Source organism: Homo sapiens, chromosome 3 (assembly GCF_000001405.40).
Source record: "Homo sapiens chromosome 3, GRCh38.p14 Primary Assembly".
In the NCBI taxonomy this organism is placed as follows: Eukaryota; Metazoa; Chordata; class Mammalia; order Primates; family Hominidae; genus Homo; species Homo sapiens.
The window spans coordinates 7,949,692-7,975,548 of record NC_000003.12 but is presented as its reverse complement, the minus strand read 5'-3'; the positions used below and the strand labels follow the sequence as shown (position 1 = coordinate 7,975,548).

The 25,857-nt window shown below is 39.8% G+C and overlaps 1 long non-coding RNA gene across 1 annotated transcript in view; it reads left to right on the top strand.

Moving 5' to 3' along the window:
- LOC101927394 (uncharacterized) overlaps positions 1–22,744 on the top strand; it is a 63,503-nt gene extending 40,759 nt beyond the window's left edge. The window contains exons 3-4 of the long non-coding RNA NR_110131.1: positions 20,083–20,239; positions 20,727–22,744. This is a non-coding gene — a long non-coding RNA (uncharacterized LOC101927394). The remainder of the gene's footprint in view (positions 1–20,082; positions 20,240–20,726) is intronic.
- Positions 22,745–25,857: the final 3,113 nt, after the last annotated feature.

Below are 25,857 nucleotides of genomic sequence, written 5' to 3'. Positions count from 1 at the left end.
TTAGCATGGTGATGTTGGGTATTTCTACAATCTCCTGCCTCTGTGTGGAATTTGATTGGATGGGGTAGGGAGGGGTGATCGTGCTGTCTTAGTTCAGATTCCCAGAGGCAGATTCTGAAATAGAGAATTTTGTGCAAGTGGATTTTTGATGATGTGCTTAAGAGAAAGGGAATGAATGAAAAAATTAGGCAAAAATATGACTTCAAAATAAGTCTAGTCTTAGCTGAGTCCCCCAGAGAGCTGTGAATGTGAATTACCCTACAGAGCTGGCCCACCTTGAGTCCAGGGATTTAGCCTTTGTATCGTCAAACTAGTGGAATTCATGAGTGACTGCAGGCTGTGGAGAGAGGTGGACAATCTCCAAGATGAGATGGCCCTACTTTTTTTTTTTTTTTTTTCGAGGTGAAGTTTTGCTCTGTCTCCCAGGCTGGAGTGCGATGGTGCAATCTCGGCTCACTACAACCTCTGCCTCCAGAGTTCAAGCTATTCTCCTGCTTCAGACTCCTGAGTAGCTGGGATTACAGACACCCACCACCATGCCCAACTAATGTTGGTATTTTTTTTTTTTTAACAGAGACAGGATTTTGCCATGTTGCCAGGCTGGTCTCAAACTCCTGACATCAAGTGATCTGCCTGCCTTGGCCTCCAAAAGTGCTGAGATTACAGGCATGAGCCACTGCACCCGGGAGATGGCCCCACTTTGACCCAGGACAATTCTCAGAAGAAGGGGACAGCTAAAGTCCAAAAGAAACAGAAGCTGGGGGATGAGTGCAATAGCCCAGTAAAAAAAATCTGAGTGCAACACCAATATCATCTGCTATTCTAACCTAGGAAAGAAGAACAAATGACAGGCTGGTTTATGAACCAAGTGCTATAATAAAATAGCACAAATAATGACATGGTACTGACAAACAAGTCTTGGTTACAAGAACATTTTGATTCCTGTTTATTACTAACCTTTTCCTTTATAAGTAAGTTAAGAATTAATCCAATGATGGGCCCATACTTGTTGATGCTGGTCTCAGCTTAAAATATGTTAATGGCTATTACACCTTTGGGGGAAGTTGACTAGGGAGAAACAGGCTCACACATCAGATGACAGAATGAGGGGAGACATTTGTAGTAAGTAGATGAATCCTGGGTCATTGTGGTGAGCCTACCCCTTCCTTGCTGGATGGAAGTCTTCCATAACAGGGGAACTCCTCCTACGTTTCTCAGACATTACCTAGGTAGGTGCCAGAGCCTTTAAAGCTCTGATCCTAGGGGGGTAACTAAGGCTGGCATCTGCCATCAGCCACAGCCACCTGAAGGAGAACCTAGATGGTGGAAATATCCTGCCTGGCAACATGGGTGCAAGGATTGGGTGCCATTTTTTTTTCTTTGTCCATTATCCTATCACTAAGTAGTCCTTTATTTTTCTTTTTTAAAGTCACCTAGGATTCACAGGTATCTCTCTTTGATCAGTCTGCAGCTGGAGGTCAAAGAGACTTGGGGTAAGTCCCCTGTCTGCTATTCCTCTGGTTAGTATTGAGGGCATCTAGAACAGTAGATGTGGTGCTTTTAATAGGCTGATCATTTTCCTTTTTCCCTCCCTTCCTTCTTTTAGTCTTTCCTTTTCTTCTTCTCCCTTCTCTTTGCTTGTTTCCTTCCTCCTCCCTTAAATAAATTAATTTATTTTGTAAATTACCTCTCTCCTTTATTCTTGCCGTCTCTTTCTTTTTTCTCCTCTCTTCTTCCTTCCTTATTTTCCACCTCTACCTCTTTCCCTTTTCTCCTCCCATTTTGTATGTTAAGTTCCCCCTTCTGCTCCCTCCCTCTTCACTCCCCTTTCTTCTGCTCATCCTTTCTCTTCCTTGCTTCACATCCTCCTCTCTCCTCCCCTCTCCCCTGCTTTGGTTTTCCCAGCACGTCTATTCCCGGGTATCCAGGATAACTTCTATATTCACAGCGTCTCCTCAGGCTCCAGTTTGACCCAGAGGTTCAACAAAAGGGACAGGATTTTTTATATTTAATTTGGCAAATAAGATGCAACCAGATGATCTAAATGCTTATGTTTGATAATTCAGGCGAAGACATGGAGAATGTGAGGGGAGGGGAGGTAACTCAGCAGGGCTCCGGCCTTCCTCTCACAGAGCTCTGGCCAGCCTCCTTTAGCATAGGCTCAGTTCTATTGGCCCCTGACCCTCCAAGGCTCCAGCGTTTCAGATGAGCAGTTCTTCTAGGCTTAAGGATTGTTTGTCAGATTCCCCAATTCTCAATGCCTGGTGTTCTTTGCAGAGCTCAGATCATGCTGATGTAAATTCACCATCCCCACCAGCCAGCATTGAGCAGGATCTGCTACCATTGCCTTACACTCATTACACATCCCATCTGTCTGTGATGCCTCTTTGGCAGTCAAAGAGCTTAATGCATTATGCATTTCAGAATATTAGAGAGATTATTTAACCACCAGGCTATCAAAACCAGGAGACCAGAAATAATGGCAGCATCTCTTTCAAGGACTTTCCCTCAGTTTTAATGTCAAGGACAATAAGAATATTGTTTGGAGAATTTTCAATTGTGGAGAATAAAAACACACAATCATGGACACACAACATACACTTATAACCTCCCACTGTTCTAAGGATTGACTTTGTCATTTTGGTTTAAGAAAGTGGAAGTATTACATGTCTTTTGGCCAGAGCCTCCCAGAATCATTAGCCAATTTTGTGATTCAACAAAGGCCCATAAATTGCTAAGGGTATTGCCAGAAGGAGGTAGTTTATGTATAAATAGATGAAAATAGAGGATACTATCTCTTTAATGGGTGATTTAATGATATTGTTAGGGTGATATGTTAGCAATTAATGTGAATATATAGAAGGAATAAACATAAGTAGCATTGTCAACTTGCTACTTTGACTAGGTTTGTAGTGATCTTATACCAGAACGTTTGTGGCCTGCCCTGGGAAAGCATCACTTCAGGCTGTACTTTGTTCATTAGATTACTCTAATTATTAGGAAGAACCAAGCAAATTAATGCATAGCAGGGTCTTATCAACAGTAAATAGGAATAAATTCTATAGAATACATGTCAGATGTTGTAGTGCAGAATATGAATACTAGGTGTTCAGAGGAGCAGGGCAACAGAAAATCTGATGGGGAGAGTCGCTAAAGTGAGAAAGGTTGCTTATCAAGACTTGAATAGCCCCAAACACAACCCTAAAAATCCAGCATAATTACCTTATATGGTTGCAAAAACTTTATTTGCTAAGTTCCATCTCCTAGGTCTAACATTCAGGTGTTGGTTATGGTTTAGAAATTTCTCACAGAATTCAGCGGTATGCACCTCGGTCTCCTGCAGTACAGGAGTGTTACCAGGAGCCAAAGCATTTTTACTTGCCACCTTTCTCTAGAGCTACAAGTTATCTGTCTCTTTCTACTCTCCACATTTACTTTCAGAAGAGGAAAGCCTTCTTCTTCAGGTGGATATGAACTGCTACAGCTCCCCTCAAAATAGCATTTTTGGCCAACAAATTCACGTCTTATTAGAAGTCTCTTTCCATAGGCAAATATCTCCATCTTTCCTAATACAAGTGCTCAAATAGCAGGATAAAACATCTGATTGGCTCAACATGGGTCATCTGACTACTTCTGGTCCAATCAGCTATGGCCAAGAGGCAGTGCCATATGGTATACCTATGGCTGTGCTTACTTATTTAGTGGAGGAGAGAGTAGTTCTCAGGAAACATAGTTGTGGCTGGGAAGATACCTCAAAAGATGTCTACCAAATTATTGTGATATTCCAAAAGTTGAAATAAGAAGCAACATTCCAAAAGTTGAGATAAGAAACAACATCAATGATAATGAAATAGAATTGTAAAAGATGAATGGACCTGTAATCTTCTCCTAATTTAAAAGTAATGTTCTAAGGGCCTTAAGCTGTCTATGAATACGTGAGTTACACACAAATTTTAATTTATAGGAATTTAACACAGTCCTCAAGGCAATATTCACAAAGGCAAAAACTTTTCTATCTGACACTAAAACAGTTCCTTGGAAGTAAACAAAACTATTTGATAGTGTCGAGTGGTTTTTGCTTCAATGAATTAAATGTTTTTAAAATCATATTGAACAATGAAAACTATTTCTAATTCTTTGATTATTTTAATTAAAAAATGTTCTTCTCTTCTCTCAATATCTAAGTTAAATTACCGTCTCATTTTCTAGCCCTCTACTTTCCCCTTGAAGAAAGTGTGTTTAATTCTCTACCTTTCAGGTTGACTTCATACTGAGCCAATAACTTCTTAAATAACAAAGGTGACCTGCAATAAGCCCTGAGATATGATTTTTATAAATAACATCTATACCTCTGTCATTGCTGTCATTCATTCAAGTGCACAAACCCATTAACTCTTCCTTCTCCAACCAAAATCAAAGAGTCACCAAGTCTTGCCAGTTTCTCTTTCTTGATGTCTATCAAATCCATCTCTTAAAATATCTTTTTCTTTTGATCTTTTGTGCACACTGCTGCTCCACGAATATTCCTAAAGCACAGCTTTGCCTTTGTTTATCCTTTCTGCTAACAGATTTGCAGAGGTTCACCATTATTTTCAGAATCAAGTCCACTTCGACCACCTGAGTGTGCCAGAACCTTCCTGCCTCTCAAACCTTACTCCCTTCTGTCCCCCACTCCTAGCCCCCTTGCTGAATAACTCAGGAAAATGTGCAGGAAATCAAGGATGCCAAATAGTATGAGTGAAATCATTTTTGAAATAGTTTTATGCCTGCTATATTTTTAAAAGCATCAAACAAAGTCACTATGGAAAAAATTAAGACTTTCTTAGATTTCTTTATACTTCTCACATAGTTCAGTATTTGGAGTATGTATGAATTACTTATATTCAAAAGCCATATTACCTTCTAAGAGTTTCTGAAGTTGTTAAATGGAACTATTTCCCATGATCCTTCTTTAATAGTAAGGTCTTTGACTAAGTGAGGTCTTTACCTTACTGTTCCCTGATCATCCTACATGTAGCTTCATCCTGGAAACTTTCTGCAATGCATCCTCCCAACTCTGACCTAGAATTTCTCTCATCCTCTGACTCTCTGAGTCCTTCAATTCCAGAGCTTAGGACTGTGGAATTACTTAGCAGACTCCCACTCCCACCCTTTCCTACAGTCACTGTAGATGATCTACGGTTCTTAATACGTGAACCATTCATTTGGCCTAGAAAAGCACTTTATGTTGCTACTTAATTGTTTTTATAAAGCAGTCGTTGTGAAATGGAAAGAAAATTCCACTGGTAATCAGACAGCATTGATTATCAAGGTTGTTTAATACCTTCAATCTCCCCAGAATCCATTGCATCTCCTGGGTGACAGAGCCCTGATCTCCCTCCAGCTTCTTCTCCACTACATTTTGTCTTTATGCCTCTGGGTAGAAAGGATGTCTGTCCATTGATCCTCAGCCTCCAGGCATAGTTCCCATTTGGCATGAGCCAATTATCATATCCCACCCCGCTGCCTGGCCATATGGATCAGTCAGGGATGTGCTCTGGAAGCAATCAGAGCCAAATAAATGCACAGAGGCACTGCTGGGGCTTCTGGGAAAGGGAAGATGGCTTCACCCTCAAGCTCCACAGAGAGTCTCCCATGCTTCAGCCATTGGGGGAAGGACTGGAGCAGCGTAGGAGACTCTGTGGAGCCTGAGGATGAGGTCAACACTGCAAAAGGCAGAAAGAGAGAGAGAGAAACAGTGTTGGTGTCATGGGTTGGCCTGCTGGATCACATATCCTGCCTAAAGCAGGTAGCTCTGACACTTTCAGTTCTATGAACCAACTAATGGTCTAGGTTAGGATGCTTGTCTTTTACAAAACAGAGATTCCCATTGGACATAATGGTCTCAGGCAAACTATCACAGTCCTCCTCTGTAAAATGAAGGTGGAGATAAGAATTCTTTCCTCAAAAGACTGCTGGGAAGATTAAATAAGGCAATACATTTGCAAGTATCTAATAAACTGGGTTCTTAAAAATTTGTTGTATTTGTATATTTTCCTTTTTAAGCAATAGAAAGGCCATGGAATTTGAAGTCGCATAGAACAGACTGGAGTTTAAAGCTAGTTCTGCCTTTATTATCTAGTTAAGTAAATGACTTTGTCTCTGAGCCTTGATGTCTGCTTTTGAAAAAAAAATGGGCATACTAATGATATTTATCCTGAAATGTTGTCATTTCTAGAAACATAGTACAGCATTTGCCATAAGGTATATATGCAACAGGTACTATTTCTCTTCTCTTCCCGCTTTTGTCATTCCCCCATCCATGTATATAGCCATTTCTCTAGATGCACTAACCTCTTTGAAGGAGTAGAGCTAGGATCTTAGATATTTGTTCACAGTATAACATAGCAACACGAACACTGGGAAAATGTATTACTAATAAGAATTATGCAAGAACTATATTCTATACACATACATTATTTTATCTTTATATCAACTATTATCTGCTAAGAAATATCCACAGTTTATAGATGAGGAGGAACTTGCCCACAGACACATAAATATCACACTGCAGAGCTAGAGTCTGAATACAAATCATCTGTTTGATTGAGAAGCTCTTATTACCTTGCCAAAGAGAACAGAAAGTTGAAAAAGGAGAATGGAATAAAGAGGCAAAGTCTGGTATGGAAGCATGTGGCTGGCTCAGGCAATGAAGCTAAATTCCTGCAGCCAAATGAGAAGAAATCCACCTGTCTTTACCTGCTTCCTGTTGCTTCTAGTATATTTCTTTGTTAACATACTACTCCCTAAAATAATTTCAGAGCTTCTCAGTAGCTTCTGAATGAGCCTCCTCACTGCTTTGCCTCCTTATCCATAATATATCATGTTGCTCCATTATGGGATGAATCAGGCAAGAGTGTCAGATTTGATTTAAAAGCTTTTCTGCTTCTCCTCTTAAAATCTCTGGTTCTATAATAAATGTTAGTTTACATTTGCTCATAAAGATATTTTATGGAGGGGGTGCTTTGCAGTTATTTCATTATTCTTCCAACTGTAGAGAAGATAAACTTTGATGTCTTTGTTTGTTCTCACATAGTCCTATGTGTATATTTAAAGATTTTTTAAAGCAAGATAAATATACAGAGATACATTAATATATTGTAAAAAAAGAATTAGCATCAGAGATTGCCCTGGCATCTAGCTTGTGGTGGGGAATACAAAATCTGTTTGCTTTGGAATTAGGAAGACCAGGTATAGTGGCTCATGCCTGTGATCCTAGCACTTTGAAAGGCAAAGGTGGGACGACTGCTTGAGTCCAGGAGTTTGAGACCAGCCTGGGCAACATAGCAAGACCCTGTCTCTAAAAAAATTAAAGAAAAAAAATTAGGCAGGCATGGTGGTTTGTACCTGTAATCCCAGCTACTCTGGAGCCTGAAAAGGGAGGATCACTTGACCATCCAGGAGGAAAAGGCTGCAGTTAGCTATGATTGCGCTACTGCACTCCAGCCTGGGTGACAGAGTGAGACCCTGTCTCCAAAAAAAAAGAAATACAAGAACAAAAGAAAGAAAGAAAGAGAGAAAGAAAGAAAGAAAAAAGACTTAGGGCCCCCAGCTTGTTCCCACTCCTTTGCTCTCAGTTGGAAGTGTGCATAATCACCTTGAAAGCAATGTGTTCCTTGAACGTACCAGCTCTCCTGCTTTCTTGATTCCCTAATTTGCAACTCTTGCAGAGTTGACGCTATCTGCCATGGATTCATTCAGCAAATATCTATTTTGAGCACCTACTATGTGCCAGCTAGTCTTCTATAGGTACCAAAATCAAAAGTAAAAAATGGCCACGGAGGAGTTGAGGTGAAGTTTTATACACACATAATTAAATCCCAAATCTGTTTTCTATTAATTAACCAAGTTCTTAACACATTGTTTGCATACTCTCCGTGCTTCTCTGAAAATGGGGAGTAGAAATAAAAGATAAGCGAGACATGAAGGAGCCTCCCACATACAGATAAACAATACATGGCCAGGGCCTTTGCCTTTATGTATTCTGGAATTTGTCTACAAGTACCAATGCTAGGCAGAAACAGGCTATCATCCAAGTGTCCCTCTAATACAGAACAAACATTCATTGAGTCTCTACTGGGGACCTAATATCATGCCAAATACTGGAGATACAACTAGGATCAAGACATAGGCTCTTCTTTTAACGTACTCACAGTCCATTAGCTTAGCTGCATGGGGGAAGGAGGAATAAGATACATACATGAACAAATACATGTGTGGTCAATAGAGTCTCAACCCTTTCTGCCCCTTCCATTTCTCTCTATCCTTACTCCTGGTGGAGGTGGAGTGTCTTTGGCATAATCATCCTTAAAAGTTATAATGTGAGAGGTGATCAATATTTCTACTACTTCTGATATAATTAATAATGTAACAAATAATAACTCTCATTTTTGAACATGTATATGCCAGGCATTGTTCTAAATGCTTTTTGTATATTACCTCATTTATACTTTTAACTATTCTATGAAATAGGTACTTTTATTTTTTTTTTTTACCGTTCAGGAACTTATGGCACAGAAATATTAAGTTAATTGCTCCATAATGCAAGAGAGTTTGTCTTATAAAATGTGAAGTTTGACCATTGCCAGCCTTGGACACCTGAAGCCAGAGGTCTTGCTGCCCTTAACCTCACAGAGAGTGAGGGGTTGGTTTGATGGAGCCAGGTACTGGGAGGTGGCAGAGGGGTAGATTCAAGAAGGCAAATCAAGGGAGAGGGGACTTAGGGTGCTCATCTAAAGTAGACACTCTGTGGCCTAAAAAAGAACCCCACGAGAAGAGTGGAGAAATGTTTTGGCTTGGGTGTCAAGTATGTTTGAGCTTGGCTGGAACAAATAATTATTTTTCTGGTATGAATCACCTGGATATTGTGGTACATGAGTTCCATGTATTATTTAGCATCATAGGTTCAAAGCTAGAGCTTTTGGAAGACAGATATAAGAGGAAGTGGTCAGTTTTACCTGATACGGGGTTGGGATATAGAAAGGGCTTCTTGGTGGAGGATAAGCTGAATCTCGGAAGGTGAGGAGATACTACGCACAAAAGAGGGATGGAGAAGGGTATCCCTGTCAGAGCAGTCAGCATCTGCAATGGCATGTAAGTGGTAGGCAGTTTTCAGATGGATCACAGGAAGTTTGGCTTGGGTTGAGTTTACCCTGCTGGGATGACATGGCTGGAGGGGTTGGCACGAACTGTAAGTGACCTTATAAACCATATTTTACAGCAGGATATGGGAAGCTTTCAAGGACATTTTAGCAGAGGGGTAATCTGGTCAGTTTTGTTTTATCAAGCTCACTCTGGTATGATAGAGAGGATGGCTGGGAGAAAGATACATCATGCTTCTGCTTTGCTCCCATATCCACTCTCCATATGGAACTGCTAAGTGCATCTTAAAGTATTATCTCTTTATACTTTAATGTATAAAGTTAAAGTACATCTCTTTAAGCATGTCTTGAGTAGATCAAAGGAGAAGAAAGATATCTAACCCATGTTTTTGTGCCTTTGAACTTCTCAGAAAATGGCCAAGTGTGTATTGCTCCCAGAGCAGATGGAAGAGCACTTGGCAGTTTATATTCACATCTCTGAGAAATCCTAAAGATTGACTGGTTTACCAGTACTTCTGTTTTGTGTGCTGTAAAAGTCCATTGGTTAAATCAAGTCTCAATGCTGAGTATGAAGACAAAATGTGCTGATCTATCTCATCACTTCATTATTAATAAATATCAATTTCATGTCTAATTATACACTGAAAGGATATTGTACTCTACACTGTGGAAGTTGTAAAAATTACTACTACTACTATTAATAATAATAATATGGTAGGAAACAAAATGTATTAAGCAATAACTTGGGTCAGGCATTTTTCTAAATGCTTTTCATGGATTGCCTAATTTAATTCTCACAAAAAAGGCTAAAAGGTAGATGCTCTTATTATTTTTATTATATTGATGAGAAAACATGTCTGAAGGGCAACAGTTTGAAATTACACAGCTAGTCACATACAGGTGTGGCTGGGATTTTACATTTGTCTGACACCAGAACCTGAGCTTTCAACTTGACACACAAAGAATTAGGATTCTAATTGAGGATATAAGCCAAGAAGATAGGGAAACAATAAAAATACCACAAGAAAGATGCAAAATAAGTATAAATGGCTTCAGAAAAGAAAGATGATCATGTTTAATTTGGGAAGATTAGGGAAACCTTTCCATGGGAAAGAGTACTATGTCTCAGGTTGAGTTTTGTTACAAGCAAAACCTGAGATGAAAGATAAAGTGTATGTAGTTTATTTGGTAGATGATCCTAGAATATTACAGCAGAAATGGAGATGTGAGAAGGGAAGGCAGGCAATCGTGAACATTTCTAGAACAACTTACTGCAGGGACACCTGAGGTTCAATCCCACTGGGGACTGTAGGAGGCAGTGTAGAACATATGCTTCAGAGTAATTCCACCCTAAAGGTAAGAAAGCTGTGCTATTTATTTTCCTGCACCAAATCTATAATTGAGTGAAGGCTTCCCTAACTTTCCAGCATTTCCAGCCAGTCCCAGCCCAGAGAGCAGCCTCGATGCAGGGAGTATCCAGTGCTTGCAGTAGGATGGGATTGGAATTTCTTGGAATGGTGATGGCTGAGGGGAAATGAACCAGGCACCAGTAGCGTGAGTTATGATATTTGAAATGTGGACACTCCTAGCTGAAAAGGAGGTGAGAGATGTAATCTTTCTTTACTCTGGCCCAATTTTGTGCCCGGCTAAAAATCTAGGGTTCTGCTTCTAAAGAAGAAAGAAAGAATAGAAATAAAGAGACATCTCTCAGTCTCTGCCATGATGGTGTCCATGAAATGCTTCATGGGGGGATGTGATTTGCTTAGAAAGACTGGAGATGGTTTCCCTGAAGAAATGTTAACAGAGCTGAGCTCAGAAAGCTGAGACCAGCCAAAGGTCTCTTGCTCTCTCCTCTCTCTCTCTCTCTCTCTCTCTCTGTGTGTGTGTGTGTGTGTGTGTGTGTGTGTTTATGGCAGGGAGGGATGATAGCAGCTGAGAGCTTGAGGCAGAGGAGAACATGGTAAATTAGAAGACCTGAAGGAAAAAAAGGGTGGCAGTAGTTAGGGGAAGAAAATGTACAATGGAGACTTCAGAAGGTGGGACACCAAACAGGGCCAGGTTAATATGAACTAGTCTGTGAATCTGATGTTCTTAAATATTCCCCTCAATAAGGTATTATGTTGGCCTAGTTAACAGTCAGTGCATCAGAAGATCCTTAAGGAATGACTGTAGTTATAGGGAATGTGAGGTTCTGTAGCCAGGTGAGATACCCAGATGCAGTCTTCCACTCAGAGCCCCTGAACTCATACCAAGTGAGTGGATGCCCACATTCCTTAAGGATGCATTTGGCGATAAATAAACTGTGGCTTAAATTAACTCAAATACAAAGAAAATGTATTTCCCATAAAGAGGTATGTGATCAAGCTCTGGCGATCAGGGATTTGGAGGTTTCTCTCCTGTCCACTTAACTCTTTCCTCTATCAACTTTGTATCTGCTTGGCTCTCCTGGTAGTCGCACGATGGCTGCCAGCAGCATGTGGGGCAAGTGACTGCGTGGTTATAGTGGGAGGGAGATAATCCATTTCCCTCACTCTAGGATAAATATTTTTCCCTTCAGTCCTACTGAACTGACTCATATTGAGCTTATCCTGGAACCAATGATAATGACCAGGAGAATTTCTAGAGTAGATCGGCTCAAGCTTGATATCCAATCACCATCCAGAAAGATCGGGGTACCACATCTGGCTTAGACTAATGAAGGACCACTTCTGGAGGTGAAGATGGAGTTAATTATGAGAACAGAATGAATACTTGAACAAAAATAATTGTTTTGGAAGGAAGGAGGGAAGAAACATGATGCTGGGTTGACCGCCAAAAATATTCACACTACTATGAAATTCATCTGTTCTTCAAAATAGCCACAGAAAATATAGGACTGACAATTGATAAATCTCAATGCATAGCTTTCCTTGAAGACATTAATTTGTAGCAGCTAAGTAGCGCAGTTAAGAGTCTGGACTCTGGATCTGAACGCTTGGGTGCACATCCAGGCACTACCATGTACCTGATGTACGATTTTAGACAATTAAATTCTTAGTTACTAATTACTTATATACTCTACCACAGTGGGTTGTGCAGATGCTGAAATGAGATGATATTTCAGCTGGAACTGTCCTGGGCTTGTATTGAGAACTCAATACATTTAAGCTAATATCATCACCTATTTGCTTAGTACAAAATGCTTTTCTGCCAGTTAAGCTAAAACGAAGCTAGAACTTGTGATAAGAAATTTCCAGCTTGAAGATATCTTTGGGAATTGGCAGAATCCATATGAATTTAAAATGATTCCTTCTAAATATCCAGTTTAGAAATCTAGGTTTTGAAAATGCAATGAAGGCAGTAAAAAGAACATTCTTGATAAAAAAGCATAACCAGAATATTAGTATTTCCAAGGATAGACATTACTGAGCCCTTTCAAGGAACAGATGGACTTACATATGAATGAATGAAGTGATAGCCTAGGTATAATTAGTGGGAAGACACAATGACACTGTTATTAGACTGGGGATATGTAGAATTAAAGAAGGCTCCAGACAACTTTCTTTCATTGCCCAAAAATCATTAATGGAGGTTGGGGCTGGGAGAGCCAGGAGAACTAGCTTCCTAAGATGATTCCATTGCTTATGCCAAATCACAGCCAGCCATTCTGTAGTTTTGCAAATCTCCCTCCAGAGAGAAGAAGAAGATAATTTTCAAAGCAGCTAAGCCCACATAACCACTAAAATGGAAATGAAATTAATGGAATAGTTTTTATATTCCCTCTCACACTCATCTACAATAAATCATGCAAAGCCACGGCATTTCTGCATTTATCACAAAAATAGTCCCTTTCTCCTGATGGCCGTGCTTCTGTCTTTAAATACAGAGAAATACATTCACTGCCTAGAGTCTGGGGAAAGCCTGCATTTGCTCATAAACAGCTAGGAAAGAATAATGCTTGTGCAGTCCAACTGGCACTTGCCTATGGGACTGTTAGACTGTGGGAGGATGTTCAAACAAGAGAAGTGCAGAAAAAGACCCAGCCTTCCTTAGAGCTTGGGGCCCATCCAGCAATTGAAAGTGTACTGTTCCACTGTCAACTTTTTGAGAGAAGCTACATCGCAAAGCCATCCCTCTTTTCATCTTTCCCTGCCTAACTTACATTGAAAACTGAAAGGATCAGACCACTCAGGGGCTCTTGAAAAAAAGTACATTAGTCCAGAAGGAAACAAATGGAAAAGCTCTCCAAGAACAGTAAATATTCTTTGTACTGATGTACTACTTTCATCTGCAATTTAAAAGGGCTTTGTGTTTAAGAAAATGTCACTGTCATTCCCTACCAGAGGGCCAAGGTAAACCCAGACACACAGGATGAAAGGACTTTCACTTGTCCTTCTTGGTCTTTAGAGTTTAAACTGCTCCTAGGTTGAAACTAAGCAAAGAAAAAGAATCTTGGATTGTAAATCAAGAATGAAATTATTTGAAAATGGTGGATATTTCTCCAACTCAGGTGCATATGCTCCCTGGGGGGGTCTGGCCTGGTGTGCCTGGTGATATGTGAAATCTCAGGATAAATAAAATCTGTTTCAGGGGAATATCTGTTCCACCCGAAGGTTAGCATGTCAAGTAGAAATGCATTTGGCTGCAAGTAAATAAAACAATGGTTTAAACAAATAGGGGCTTAATTTGACCACACGATATCTCCAGAATTAGGTAATTGGTGGTTTTAGGGACCTAGATTCCATCTTTTCATTCTCAGCAGCCAACCTTTAACATCCTTAGCATATCAGCTTTTGCCCTGTTTTTTGTCCTTTTATTCTATGACTTTTATACTTTCAGGGCCCAAGTCTGTGTACAAAGTGGAAAGAAGAGAACAGGTTGTTGAATAGTGCTTGCTGTCTCCATCCCCTTTTTAAGGAAAGCAAAACTTTCCAGAATACTCTCCATAAAAATTCCATTTTACTTTCAGTTTCCAGAATTAGATCATATTTCATTCTTAGTTGTAGGGACCATTACACATCAGAAGTCAGAATTTTCAAAAAAAAAAAAAAAAAAAAAAAGAAAGAAATCAAAATTGCCTCAATGGGCTTAGGACACTGATGACCCTGTATTTGGGGCTCATATCACATTGTCATCTTTAACAAAATTAGGGTTCTTTCAACAAGAATAAAATGTCTATTTGCTACTCAATTAATGGGGTTAGCACCAGTGAATAATTGGGAATATTTTTAAAGCACTACAACACGGTAGTATACATAGTATGTCAAAATGCAAACTTTGCATTACATTTTACAACAATATTTGAAAGAGCTGCATGCTTTCAACATGCCACTGCAAACCCATGTTTGTGATAACTGGATCTCCCTCAGCCCTTGCCCTTGTCTGACCCACTTCCCGCCCAGTAACATGGTGATCTTTGAAAGGCACCCTCTGAATATGTTGCTCCCTTGCTTAAAATCCTTCAATACCATTCCAGCAGGGCAGGAATAAAGTCTAAAGTTTTCTTGTTACTTTCAAAATCCCTCAGAGTTTAGCATCAGACTTCTCTCCAGCTACATTTCTTACCATTCCTCCTCCTCACTTTTGAAGCTCCGATTGCTCAATTTTTCAACAGCACCAAGCTCTCTTGCCGTTGAATCTGGTGCATGCTGCACCCTCTGTCTGCATCACTCTGCTCCAACTTCCTGAAATTCGTTTTCCCTGGCTAACTCCCTGCCATCTTTCCAGCTGTTACTTCCTCTGGGAAGCCTTCTCTGATTCCCCCCAATAACATTTGATGCTCCTACCTTATGCTCTTCAATACCCTCTCATTGCGTTTGGAGTTCTTTCTCAATATTGCTGTACATTCCTCAGAATATGGAACTTTTCCATCTTCTCCATCTTGTTCACTATTTTTTCCTCCACACCTAGCATATTGCCTGGTACTCACTAGGTGTTCCATAAATATCTTGATTTTTAGTTTATTTCTAGTTGCTTGAAGTTTGTTGAAATAATCCCAACTTACTTATTTACAGCACACTAACTATACAGGGGAAGCTCTATTGTTTCTTGAAGAGTTTGAATAAACAGATAAACTAGAAATGAAGAAAGGAACATAGGGTATCAGAAGTGGAGAGAAATTTGACCAGTGGTCAAATGAGGCAGAGATGTCCCCATCATTAGAAGATTTACTGGAGGATAAGCATTTTATCCCAGTCACGCCTATAAAAACTGCCTTTCTTTTTTATAAGCAAGGCTTTTATTTTGCTTGTCACTTGTTTTGCAAAGAGCTCTGTCCTCTCGTATTTAAGGATTTGTTGTTGTTTTGTTGTGTTTTCCTCCAGGTTTACAAGTGAGGGTGTGAGGCTTAGAATACTCATTTTTGTGGTATTTCTTCTCTAAATTCTCTGATCTTTTTTTTTTTTTTTTTTTTTTTTGTGAGCCTTGTTAGCATCTCTCTCAGGCAGGCTAGAACCACGTAGAAGGAATGGTGGCACCTGAGAGTTCCCAGGTACTATGCTTGTTATTGATACTTCCAGATTCATGGTTCATGTTTCAGAAGGAGGACAGGCAGAGAAAGGATCATCTGAGCTCTCTGATCCAGCCATATCTAAACCCAGAAGCTCCTCTGGACTTCCCAGGTTTATAAGTCAGCAAATATCCTTTCTGCTATAGCTCTTTTAAATGGAGATTTTGTCATTTACAAATAAATAGTGAATACAGGATTTGAAATGAGAAATGTAATAGTTGATTGACTTGATGTCTCAAGTCAACCCCTGTGGCTCATGGTGGGAAAAGTTATTCCTTTCCAAACCACTGAAGACTCCATTATCAGAAAATGGAGAATTTCAGGAGACAAAAGCAAATAAAACAAAACATCTATTTTGTCCATGTGACATTGATACCAAAGCAGGGAAGGGAAGTGCTGGGAAGGGAAGGGCGTGATCCCTGGCGAGGGCTCCACACCCTGCCTGTGCCCACAGACCCAGGTGAGGATGGGCACTCCTGCCTTCATGCCCAAATGTTGCATTTCCCAAGACTACCCTGGCCTGCCATGCTCCCATCCTGAGCCTATTGTGCCGATAAAAACTCCGAGTCCCTAGCAGGCAGACCCACAAGTCGCTGGACGTCGAGAGGAACACATCGGTGGAAGAAGACACAAGTGGCTGAATATTGAGAGGACGTCAAGGGGAACGCGCTGGCAGAAGAGCACAGGACAGAAGACGGCATGCCAGCAGGCCATCGACTGGCGGAACGATGTGGACTTTGGCCGGGGCAGTCAGACGAGAGCCTGGGCCACTGAGTGGTCTGACTCCAGGGGAAAACCACCTTCCCACTCCATTTCCCTTCTGGCTCCCACATCTGTTGAGAGCTACTTACAGTCAATAAAACCTTGCACTCATTCTCCAAGCCCACGTGTGATCCGATTCTTCTGGTACACCAAGGCAAGAAACCCCGGGATACAGACAGCCCTCTGTCCTTGCGATAAGGCAGAAGGTCTAATTGAGCTGACTAGCGCAATCTGCCTATGGAAGGGTAAACTAAAAGAGTACCCTGTAACACAGCCCACTGGGGCTTCAGCTGTAAACATTCATCCCTAGTCATTGCCGTGGGGTTGGAGCCCCACAACCTTCCTGTCTGAATGCTTCCCTGGAGGTTTGAGCAGTGGGGCATGTAAGAAGCGAGCCACTTCCCGTCGCGTTGCCCTGAGAGGGGGACAAGGGAACCTTTCCCATTTCAACATGTCTCTTTGTCACTGCAGCTTCAGCTAAATTCATAAAATTGCCTTTATTTCTGAGACCTGGAACTTTCTTTGGGACAGTGGAAGTGGACAACTTCCTGAAAATTAATTTTCCAAATGTTCGTTTCCTAAGGCTAGTTCACTGATAGCCAATTTGTCAAAAGCCAATTGTAAGCTTTAATTTAAACTCAAAAGTAAATAAAAGAAATCAGAATTACCCAAAATATAACATAAAATAAATCAAGATTAAAGAAAAATGTCCATATTAATACTGAGAATTTAGTGCCAAGCAATAAAATGTATATTTTTCTGAATATTATATTTGATACCCAAAGATGAACATTTCTGTTAAGATGGTTAAGTCTTTTTAAATTTTTACAACATTACAATGAGGAAATTTGGTATATTCGGCCAATTGATCATTCAATGACTAAGCTTCTTCCCTTGGGCAAGACCTAGAGAGGTGACTGGAACCACTGATGTTCTTCACAGGCTTATTTGAAACACTTGAATTTATACCAATAAGCAGATTTGTTTTGTCGATAGGGCAAGAGGTCCAATGCAAGTGGAAAAAAAAAGTGCAAAAGAGGACACCTCCCATAGGGAAAGGTCTGTACAGGCCACAGACTTTCAACACTGCCTTCCCTTCACCCCACTTGCCAAGTCTCTGATCTGATATTAAGCTGCCACCTTTTTGAGATAATTTCCGTCTTTTATAAACACTCTGTTGTGGTTAAAGGGTCTGTTTTCCAAGACTGACTCAGTCTTTTACTAACAGTGAATTCGTGTAAGACAGAAGAAGCTGTTATGCTGTAATAGGGAATCCCTCCCAAATCCTAGCATCTTAACGCAACCATGTTTTGTTTCTTGCTCATGTTCCATGCCCGATGTAATTGTCATCACTGACAGATCCTATAGGAGCTCTATTAACATACAGCTATACTACCTGAACTCCTGGCTTCTTTGGACAGCTCAGCAGAGGAAGAGGGGGCACAGAAAATCAAACAAAGGCTCTTAAATACTTACACTTGAAAGCGATAGTTCTCGTCCACTCACATTCCACTGGCCGAAGCACATCATGAGGCTACACTCCACTTCAAGTGGGCAGGGGATTGTAGTCCTCTTTGTCCCTGATTAGAAGAGAAATGAATGTTGGCAAACATTAGTATTACCAAACAGAGAAAATTAATTGTTCTGTGTTTCTGTTAACTCATCTGTAAAATGAGGATGATAATATCCATGTCATAGAGCTATTTATGAAATGGAAAATGAACTAATAAATATACAAAGCCTAGCATTATACTTGGTAGACACAAAACAATAAAATTAACTATGATTATTATTATTAGCATTAATATTTATCTTCAGGATAGACTATTACATTGAGTAGCATCACTCTAGATCTTTTAAAGTATTTCATATATAAGATCAGATTAATTTTCTTTGGAATAAGTTGCATAATCACTAAATTTGTTTCTTCTTTTCTGTTAATGACATCATCACCTACCCATTTACTCAAGCTAGAAATTTTGGCATTATCCTTGATGCCCCTTTTTCCTTACCTCCCTAATTCAATCAATTCACCAGGTCCTGTGAATTCTGCTTTATGAATAATTTTCCACCCCACTGTTCTCACCTATTCCACACTACCATCATTGTTATGTACTAAATTTTCGTGTTCCTTCTTCCCAGTCCAAATTTCTATGTTGAAGCCCTAACTTCCAATCTGACAGGGAGAGATGGGGTTTTTTCAGGGGGAAATGGGACCTTTGGGAGATAATTAGATTTATTTGAGGTCACAAGGGTGGAGTCACCATGACTGGATTAACGTCCTAATAAACAGAAAAAGATATACCAGAGCTCTCCATCCTCTATGTGAGGACACAGCAAGAAGGTGGCCGAATGCAAGTCAGGAAGGGAACCCTCACCAGAACCTGACCAGCCTGGCACCCTTGGGCTTCCAGCCTCCAGAACTCTGAGAAATAAATGTCTGCTTTTAAAGACACCCATTCTATAGTGTTTTGTTATGGCAGGCCAACCTGATTAAGGACAGTCGTCTTTTCCACAGACTACAGCAACCCCCAACTGGTTACCCCAGTATTTATTCTGCTCTTCTCCAACTTTTATTCACATAGGAGCCACAGTGATTTTTTTTTTTTTTAGCTTAGAGATGATTAAGCTTCTCTCTGGATGATATCCTTTAATGGTTTCTCATTTTATTTTTTACCAAGGCCTACAAAGCTCTCTATGCATATGAGCAACCATTCTGCATAAAACGACATTCTAGTTCCCCAGGGATGAGGGAGTCATCTATGTGAGACTCCCTACCTTGAATTTCTACAACTACTTTTATTATTTCTTAAAGAGAAGATGGGTGGGTGGACAGGTAGAAGAGGAAAGAGAAGGCTTAGGGAATCCCATCAAATATTTCCTGCTCCTTTTTATCTCCTGAGTACCTTCCTGATGAAGAAGTGGTTCAAACAGTCTCTAGTTAGGTGTTTGAATCTGAAAGAAGAAATGACAACGTCTTTCATTATGTGCTTCAATTTCAATTCGTTGTTAGTGGCTTCTCAAAGGATTAAGGTGAGAAGGTTAAATGGGGCTCAGTGTGAAAAAGCATTGAAATTATTTAGTAATGTCTGCCTCTGGTGAGAAAGTAGTGAAGAGTGACTGGTTTTGTCACCATCATCTCAGCCCTCCAAACTGGATGATAGCCTTTCTCTAACATCCGAGGAATCATCTTCCTTTGAAGAGCTTTCTCTCAAAACCATTAGAAATACTAGTGATCACTTACTTTCTGAGAGTGTCAGAAGGTTTAAATGCTGGTAAAGCTTAAAGAAAGTGCATCATAATGCTAGACAGATGTGACATTCATTCCTTGTCTTGTAATTTGCTTTCACTGCTGGAAATTTTTATTTCTCTCTTATGTGGAACAAGAGTAACAACAATATTCTGGTTCAAACAGAACCATTTTACTCAAAGGTCTTATGGTGTGATGGGTAAAAACTTGGGAAATGCCTGCGGGAAATTAGCAGCACAACTTGCTTCCTCGCTTTCAGCCTATTAAAATTTTCCTGAAACTTATAAATGGAAAGATGTTTTGTTCCCAAGGGTCTGCTTGTACGTTGCTTCAGTTTTTAGAAATAATTCAAGAAAGTAAGCACAGGACCTGGGAAGTCTGCAGAAAAGTTTCAACTAAGATGAAAAACTCAGTTAACTTTATTATTTTGTTTCCTTACAAAGCCCATGGATCATACCACATTGTTCTTTCTGCAAAACAGTTGAGAATTACCAGTAATTGGGACTGTTTACATTCAATGCCATCATGACAGAAGCAGCTTTATTATATTGCAGAGGAATGATTAATACATGATGGGGATTAAAGATTGCACTGCAGCAGGTAAGCCTCTTGTCTGATATGTCATTTCACTGATACAAAGGAATGCAAATTATATAAACAGAAATAATGTTTTTCTCTTATGCTAATTTTAGCCTAGCCCACCTGTGCATTTTCAATTAACTGGAGAAACGTGAATAATATTAGGTTTGCTAAGGTAGATTTCTGCATTGTCAGCCCACCCTATCTGATAGTAAATGCAGTTATATCTTTTTTAAACTCCATTTTTAACCTTTTTTTAATTCCTGAAAAGATAAAATTCAAGCAAATTACTTATATGAGCTATGAGATTTAGGAGACATGGCATGATTTGGGTAAGGTAAAAGGCTTATCTTTCTTGACAAATTGTACAAATTAGAGCAATATTCTTGGCTATTTGACTATCGTGATACTGTCATTTCCTAGGCTTGTGCTTGTTTGCGACAGATCCTTAATACCTAATATTGTTAATTGCAAAACATATCAATACTCTCCTTTGCTTCTATCACAGGCCAAGGCAAGAGGCAATAAAGATTAATAATTTTAGATTTCCACTGTAGCAAGAACGGGAAAAAAGCGTCATCTGAAATGCCAACTTCAAGCAATTGCAGTGATTTCCTGGAACCCTACGTGACAAGTCCAGATTCAGTGGGAAAGACTGTGAGGATCCGTTAGCAATGTTTACGATGGGCAAGTCTTGTGATGGGGTTACCCTCCTTGCATTAGAATTTGCAGTCTTCTATTAGGCCATTAGTCTTTGAGAGCAAAAACTGTATGTATCTCATTTTTGTAGCCCCAGTGCCAGGCACACAGTAGCTGCTCCAAAAGCAAAGGACATCGAGTCTGAATCAAGCTGCTTGGGTTTAATGGCTGTCTTTGTCGCTTACTAGCTGAGTGGACTCGTCATATTTATAACTTAATTGTGGTTCAGTTTCCTTCTCTACAGAAAAGGCATGAGTTCCTCATTCATAGAGTTATAATAAGGGTTAAATAAAGTCATGCATATCCAAAGCTTAGCATAGTACCTGAGACATAGCAAATACTTGAGGAATGCAGGTATAAATTAACATAGGAGTGAATAACATTGCAAGGAAACAGAGAAAAGGATCCTAAACAGTCCTGCTGGTATATTCATTTATGATTCAAAAATCCTCAATTGTTAAAATTTGGGTCAGAACCTTATTATTCCAGGTTGTTGGTAAATGTGAGGACCCTTCTGGGTTTGGAAGTAGAACAATAAATTGAGAGGCCAAAGAAGCTGCAAATAAAAATTGGCTTCTCTGGGAAAATGATTTTCACATTTATACCTACCTGCCTTTTGTCCTCCCATGCATTTCTCCAGATGTGATACCAATGTGATACAATTGTTGTTTATTCCTTCTCTGACAATAGCAAGGTAGAGTGAGCCTTCCAGTGAGGGCTTAAAATATAGCTCCAGAGACATTCACCACTACTTCCTGCCTCCATGGTTACACATTCCCTTTCACAAATAAAACATGGCCTCATGCTTCATGCTGAGCTTGCATTTTACATACATCATTTGGATCTTCTCTGCAAACCTATGAAGTGGGCATGGTAATCTTCCTTTACAAATAGAGAAACTGAGGCCTAAGATGGGGAGCAATTTCCCTTTAAAAACCTTTTATTGTCAAGGTCCAAATGGCTGATGATTCATGCCATAGACATCCCAAACCAGCTGGTAGGCAGAGCTCTTGGCATTCCAAATGGAAACGTGGAACAGACACAGATCACCTGGCCACACAGACCTCAGCTCTAAAGACAGATGACTACTTACCTGTTAAAGTTCCCTGTGCACTATTTTTTAAAATCTAGAGATAGATAATAAATAGGTTAAGTTACATTTTAAATTAGCCCAAGAGCATTTGAGAACAGAATCATTTTTAGAATCTTAATTCTGAGATTCACTGTTGGGCTTAAGTCACTGCTTCTGTGATGGTTAGTTTTGGGTGTGAACTTGACTGTATTAAGGGATACTTACCTGGGAAAGCATTATTTACTCTCCATGCTTCAGTAGATACTGAGCCCTTCCCTTTTCTGCTGAAAGGGAAACCCAGGTGGCTTGGCGTTTGATTAGAATAATTGGGCTGCCCCAGGTGTGTCCGTGAGGGTGCCTCTGAGGGAAACTGGGACTAAATGAAGAAGATCTGCCCTCCATATGGGCAGGCACTATTCCAATTGGCTGGGGGCCCCAGATAGAACAAAAAGGCAGATAAAGGGCAGTCTCCCTGGAGAAGAGACCTGCCTGTAGACAGACATCAGAACTCCAGGTTCTCCAGCCTTTGGGCTCCAGGACTCACACCAATGCGCCACCGGGCTCTCTGACCTTCAGCTTTGGACTGAGAATTACACCATAGAATGCCCTGGTTCTGAGGCCTTCAAACTCAGACTGAGCCACGCTACAGGCTTTCCGGATTGTCCAGCATACAGAAGGTCTGTTGTGGGATTTCTCAGCCTCCATGAGTAAGTAAGAAAATTGCCTCTAATAAATCCTTTTTCATATGTCTCTCTAGACATCTGTAGGTTCTGTCTCTGGGGAGAACCCTAACTAAAACCCATTCTTGAAGGTAACATGCATAAGAATTGCCTGGGGCAGGGGGATGGAGTCTTGCTAACATGCACATTGATTCAGAAGAGGTAGGGCCTAGGATTTTCTGTAGTTCTGAAACACTTCCAGGTGATGTTGATGCTGATGGACAAGGAGCACACTATCAGTTTTCAGTCAGGCTTCCACAAAGTGCTTTCTGCAGGTGTCTTGCATCAGAATATGCAAACATGAAGAGAGTCTGCTTTAGTTGGTTAGTGGGTCTCAGGTGGGTCTGGAGAGACCAGGGGAAGCTGCCTGTTTAAAATGCATTCAGGTGATTCAGCTACATATTAACAAAGCATTGTGACATTAATGAAAGTGTTTTCCAAACTTGCTCCATCATTAGAACCACCTGCTAGTTAAAAGGCACTGATTTCCCAGGCTTTCCCCCTTACAGACTCAGTTTTAAAGATCTGGCTTATCTCATTTTGATCTATGCAATTCCTGATAATAGCTTAGTGAGGTTATGGAACTTGTCCAAAATCAAAAGTAGTGAATAGTAGTCTCAGGTATATGTGTAGACTAATGGAGAAGTGTCAGAGGAGAAGAAATAGTAAATGAGACACAAACAGGGAATTAGAGACTTCATCGAGAGACATTTGCATGAGTGGACCTAGAGTACTCAGTGCCACTGGGCTAGCTTTGGAGGACCAGCTCACCCAGCAGAGTTGGGCAGTGGCTCCTCCACAGTGTGCCTGGGCTTCAGGAAGGCAAGAAGCAGGACTTGTGTTCAGACTGGTGCAGGCTAAGCTTGAGACAAGACAGCCACATGGACTCATAACTGCATGGAGAACTTCAGTGAAGGAACTTCTAGTCTGTACCATACTGGTAACACCTGCCTTGTTTGTTTATTTATTTATTTATTTATTTATTTATTTATTTATTTATTTATTTTTGGTAAAAATAACCTGCACAAACATAACGGGAAATCATGTTCTAAAAATATAACTTTCCTAGTAATCCTCTACCCTTCCGTATCAACTTAAGTCAATTATAATCCTTTTCGTCCCCCAGTTTTTACACACACAAATTTTCTAATGTTGGCAAGACTGTTATTTCAGAGAGGGGTGAGGCTTATTAAAGGTATCTTAAGGGTCTAAACTAGTAGCGATATATAGAAGTTAGTGGAGGACAGATTTCTGTGGACAGAGTAAGGGAGAATGGTTTAAAATACTCGCATAATAATTAGACCAGAGAGAGCAAAAATATTTTATCTTTTATTGCTAGCCCCAATCTATTATTGAGCATCTAGGGAACTGTGTAGGGAAGTATTCTAAGCTGATACCTAATCAGTGTTTTTAAAAGATCTTGGTAGCCAAGTCTTTTGTGTATTATATCTAGTAAGAATTGTTTCACAGTTGTTTTCTAATTGTACTCTGGGTGAATATGCGCTAGAGTCTGGGTGAATGTGTATCACTATGCCTGGGGACTTGGTGAGGAGGAACCAGAAATTCCTCCTTTGTTATTAATATTCTAAATAAAACTTGATTTTCATGGTTTGGGCCTGGCTCTGTTGAAATGATGGTTATGGAGTTTAAGAACTAGAGCAGAACAAACACAATCCTACCATAGACGCCCTTCCAGAGGGAAAAGGGATGAATGAGGTCATGCTTCTTGGCTGGTATTAGTCACCCATTCTCTGTAGAACTCAAGGTGTTGCTCCTCCAAAACCAAATAACATTAGAGTCTCCACCTGTCATCTGAAACCACAGCACTCAGCAGAATGCCCAACCTGTCAGCTAATATCCATGACCCTCATTCAGTGCCTGCTGACTCTTCCAGTTCATCCTGCCCGCTCACCCCTAACCTCCACAGACCCACCTGGTTATGGTCATCCCGCTTCAGGTGTCTACTTAACTCACCCCCAAAAATGATTTGAATCTTCATACCAATCAAATCTCCTAATTCCTCTGTCCCTTCCTTCTCTCCTGCCTTTGACCCCATCCGTCAGATTCTGGGACTCAATTATCTTCCCATAGTTTCGGTCTCCTTTCTTACCCCTGCAAAATTTAAATTTTACATCAATTTTAAAATGGGAGAGAAAATAATTTTTAAAATGAAGTAAATGGCCACTACTCATTACCTACTTGTTCTAGACTTTCCCATATAAGGATAGTTCTAGATGCTTTCTTACAGATTTTGAATTTAATTATACTGAGATTCAAGAATACAATTTATATTTTGATTATTTGTTAAAACTCGTTATCGTAGTTAATCTTAGTAAATGTTTTATTGGTGGGCTTCAGATTAGTATGAATTCATTAATAGTTACACAAAATTTGCATAATGCAAATAAGTTGTTTATCTTTAATTCTTTTTGTCAGCTTTATCTCTCAATTACTGAGAGCTACGTGAAAGCCTAAGGGTATGTTGGTAAATTGTCGATTTCTTCTTAATTATAATCAAGTTTAGAATTAATGTATCATCTTGCTAAATGAAACTCTGTGATTATGTGATCTTCCTTGTCCCTATTATTTTTTACCTAAATGCTATTTTGGCTGATATAAATACAAACTCCCCAATTGTTTTTTTAGCTAGTTTTTAGTACGTGCTTTCCATCTTTTTCCTATCAGCCTTTTGATTTTCCTAAGTTTTAGCGTGTTCCTTCATGGCATAAAGCAGAATTTAAATCTATCTGCCGTTCAAATGACTGATCAGTCTTAGTTGTGATTACTGTTGTTTTAAACTTTATTTCTGTTGTCTCATTTAATGTTTTTGCTTTTTGTATTAGTTTTTAGAAGCTTTTCTGGCTCCTTCCTTGCTTCATCTTTTATTTTTGAAAATTCCATTTCTTTCTCTACTATTTTGAAAATTACATAATCCATTTAGTCTCAAACTTGACATTTCCCTATGTATTCTTAATTTTTTTGAAGCCCGAAGTCCATCAAAACTTGACTCTCCTCCTGAGCAATATTGAAACCTTAGAATGTTTAAATTCTGAATGTCTAAATTCCTTCAATTACATATTTTAGAAGATTGTTTAAAGAAGATTTTTTGTGCTGAACTCTATTTTTGTTTAACTGGAAATATCACTTGG